The sequence below is a fragment of the Homo sapiens genome, chromosome 3, assembly GCF_000001405.40.
Source record: "Homo sapiens chromosome 3, GRCh38.p14 Primary Assembly".
Lineage (NCBI taxonomy): Eukaryota > Metazoa > Chordata > Mammalia > Primates > Hominidae > Homo > Homo sapiens.
Genome location: NC_000003.12, coordinates 145903088 through 145906269, shown reverse-complemented (window position 1 = coordinate 145906269; position 3182 = coordinate 145903088). Strand labels below are relative to the sequence as shown.

General features: G+C 47.2%; 1 annotated feature.

Annotated features, from left to right (window-relative positions):
* Positions 1536-2310: an enhancer, noted in NCBI's record as "H3K27ac-H3K4me1 hESC enhancer chr3:145621747-145622521 (GRCh37/hg19 assembly coordinates)". NCBI's record gives its function as "activates a minimal SCP1, AML or CMV promoter by ChIP-STARR-seq in primed H9 embryonic stem cells {active_cell/tissue: H9 hESC(primed)}" and the evidence as "EXISTENCE:reporter gene assay evidence [ECO:0000049][PMID:30033119]".

Here is a 3182-nt window from a genome sequence, read left to right as displayed (position 1 = left end):
TATATTAACATAATAACAGCCTGATTAAAACTGAAATGTTTATATGATAAAATCTGACCCACAAAAACAGCAAAATCACACTTACTTCCCACACTCAGTCTATGATATCAATAAAAGATGTAAAGGGATATATTAGGATATACTTATTCGTATTAATTATTTACCAAGCTTCATGCCCTGTACTTCAATGACCCAATTCATATATTATAATAGCTTTAGTCCTCTTTAGAGCTAAGTAGACCTCATCATGTGAAGTCTTGTTAAAAATAAAGATGCACCTCACTTTAAGTGAATCTGAAATAAGAAAATTTGACCTTAACTAATATGTTTATCTTACAGGATGAAGACTAGGAGCTATTAGTGGCCTTGCCTAAATGAACTCACAGCCTAACTATCCCCAGGGATGTGGATTGTATATATTTTATTCATAAGATTACAGAGAGAAAAGAGAAAATTAGAGAGGTGATATAATTTTCCCAACATTACAAATCTATCAAAAGGTATTGCTTGTCCTTTAACCACAGGGACTCTGTCCCTACCTTCATTCTTTCCAGCATCTATCCATTTCGACAAGTTTTGGTTTTGAAATTGAGTATTAATTCACTCACATTAATTGTAATTTCAGGTATAGTTTATTTTAAATACATTACACTACTGTTTGTTTTCTATTGCTCTCACTTGTTTGATATTTTCTTTTCTCTTTTTTCCAGACTGCTTTGCATTTGATTTATTATTCTATTTTTTTTTGCCTTCATTAACCTTAGAAGTGATATATTCATTCAATTTTTTTAGTTATTATTTTAGGAATTACGGCATTTATCCTTTACTTAGCAAAGTTTAATATGTTTCGGCACTTTTGCTCCATTACCAGATAATGGATCTATTTCTATTGTTTGTTATTTCTGTAGTTCTTATTTCATGGTGCTTAATCTCCTCACAGTGTTACGCGATCTTTGGGGTGTCATTTTTCTGGCCAGAAATCTCTGTGGTCAGCGATGCCTTTGCCTGAGTTTTGCTTCAGCCCACTGGGCTTATTTCACTCACTCAGCCTGGCAGGTTGTACTTGAATCACACTACCAGCCTTTGTCCTATGTTGGCTAAGGGCAAGTCAGGCATGGAATGGTGAGGGGTGTGTGAACAAGCATGGGTTATGGCCACTGGGCCCAATCAGACATGCCGACTGCTGCAGAGGGGTGTGCAGCTCCTGTTGCTGGCAGGAATGCTGGTTCTTTGTGAGGCTGTGGCCAGACTAGGCGCACCACAAGGAGCTTCAACAGTGACCTGGGGAATACAGAGGAACGCAGAAACTTGGACATGCCAGGAACCGCAGGGCCCTAAAGAGGGGCCACAGCCCTGGTTCGGAGAGTGCCCAGATGTGGTTCCCCGAAGGGCTGCAGTTCTTCTTTCTTACTCTTCACCCACAACGTGGCAAGCAATGGTCATGGTTCAGCCCTTTTTGTGTTACAGCTCTTTTAGCCTCACCATTCAGTTGGTCCAGAGTTTTTGTCCTGCCACCAGAAAGAATGAGGTATGCAGACAAGTGGCAGGTGAGCAGGATGAAGAGGAGCTTTATTGAGTGATAGAACAGCTCGGAGGAAACCCATAGGGGTCAGCTCCTTTCCACAGCCAGGGTGTCCCAATGAGTGTTCAGCTCCTAGCAGAGAGGGTAGTTCCTTTCTGCTAGGCAAGTCATTCCAACAAGTGTTCAGCTATCAGCAGAGAGGGAAGCTCCTCTCTACAGCTGGTTATCCCATCGTCTGTGCAGCTCTCAGCAGAGAGGAGGCCCCAGAGTGGGTTGTCCCTCTCTGCAGTCGGTCATTCTGACATCTGCTCAGCTCTGGCTGAGCCACCGTTATGGGCTTCAGAGGGGAGGAAGTGCGTGCAGATAGGTCCATGGGCAACCATGGGTAGACCAGGAAAGGGCATCACATGTCCCCAGTCTGCAGCCTGGCCCCAGCCTTCAGGCCGTCCATGGCCTGAAGGCGGACCCTCACTGGAGACAACAACCTTCTGCCCAGGAACCTGTCTGCCTGCTGCTGCTATTCATGGCGCCCAGGCTATGGGTGCCATGGGGGTGCCTGCAGGCCAGCTCTGAGCTGCTCTCAGCTCCCCATTGGCATCCCTCCTTTGCTCATTGGTGCCCAAAGTCTGGAGGGGGCTGATGTGGCAGGGGGCTGGTGTGTCAACAGTGCCTCCAGTGTGTGCACACCCAGCCAGGCTGTGACAGCCCTGGGCTGGGCCCAATTTTCCTTCAAGATTGGAACAGGGGCCGACATCAGGGAAAATCCAGGCAGTGGGAACAAACGATTCCAAGCCTGCGAAGGCAGAGGAGGACTTCCTGGGCCCTCTAGAGTGCAGAGATGCCTGGGTCCACAGTCACGGTTTGGGCGGATGCAGCTGCACGGGCAGGGCCGGGGTGTGGGGCTCCTGCCTGCTCTGTGGAGCAGGAGGCCCAGGTCGCAGCATGGTTTAAGCAGCTGCAGTTACACCCAGGAGCCCTGGGTTCCCACCTGCTCCCAGGCCCTGAGGCCACAGGGATACCTGGTCTGCAGCCCTGGCTTGGGTGGCTGCAGCGGCACCCAGGGGGCTCCTGCTCCAACTTGGAAGGGTTGGGGCTCACTTGTCCCCAGCTCCTGCAGGCTCCGTGGAGCATGCAGCCCCAGCCACGTCTCCCTGCTGCAGCTGGTGTGATGGCAGCTGCCACTCCAGACTGCCCGCTGCTGCCATCAATAGACTTGATTATTTTTCATTTCATGCCAAACATTGTATTTGAAAAACTATTTACAGAATTAACTTGAGGCCTAAGATGACATTAGCCTCCTCCGCAGAGGGCTTTTGTTTGCTTATGCATGATACTTATAGTAACTACACCACCTGGGGATCTCTGTAATCCAATTTTAATAAGTGAAGTAATTCCAAGTTAGGATGCAATCAATCCCTATGTGGTCTGATAGATCACTAATGTGTAACCCTTCAGCTCCTATCCTGAGCATGAGAGTTTAGAAACAAACCTCTTGGCTGCTTTGTACTCACATTTTTCTCCCTAGTCTCATGAACCTGCTCAGCCATTCAGCCTCCCTCCTGCCTCTGGAATAATTAAGCCCCAAAAGGAACATGCTCTCAAATACTTGAATTACATCCCTGAATTTCCATTGTCTCTCAAACTTTAGCCCAATAATTCT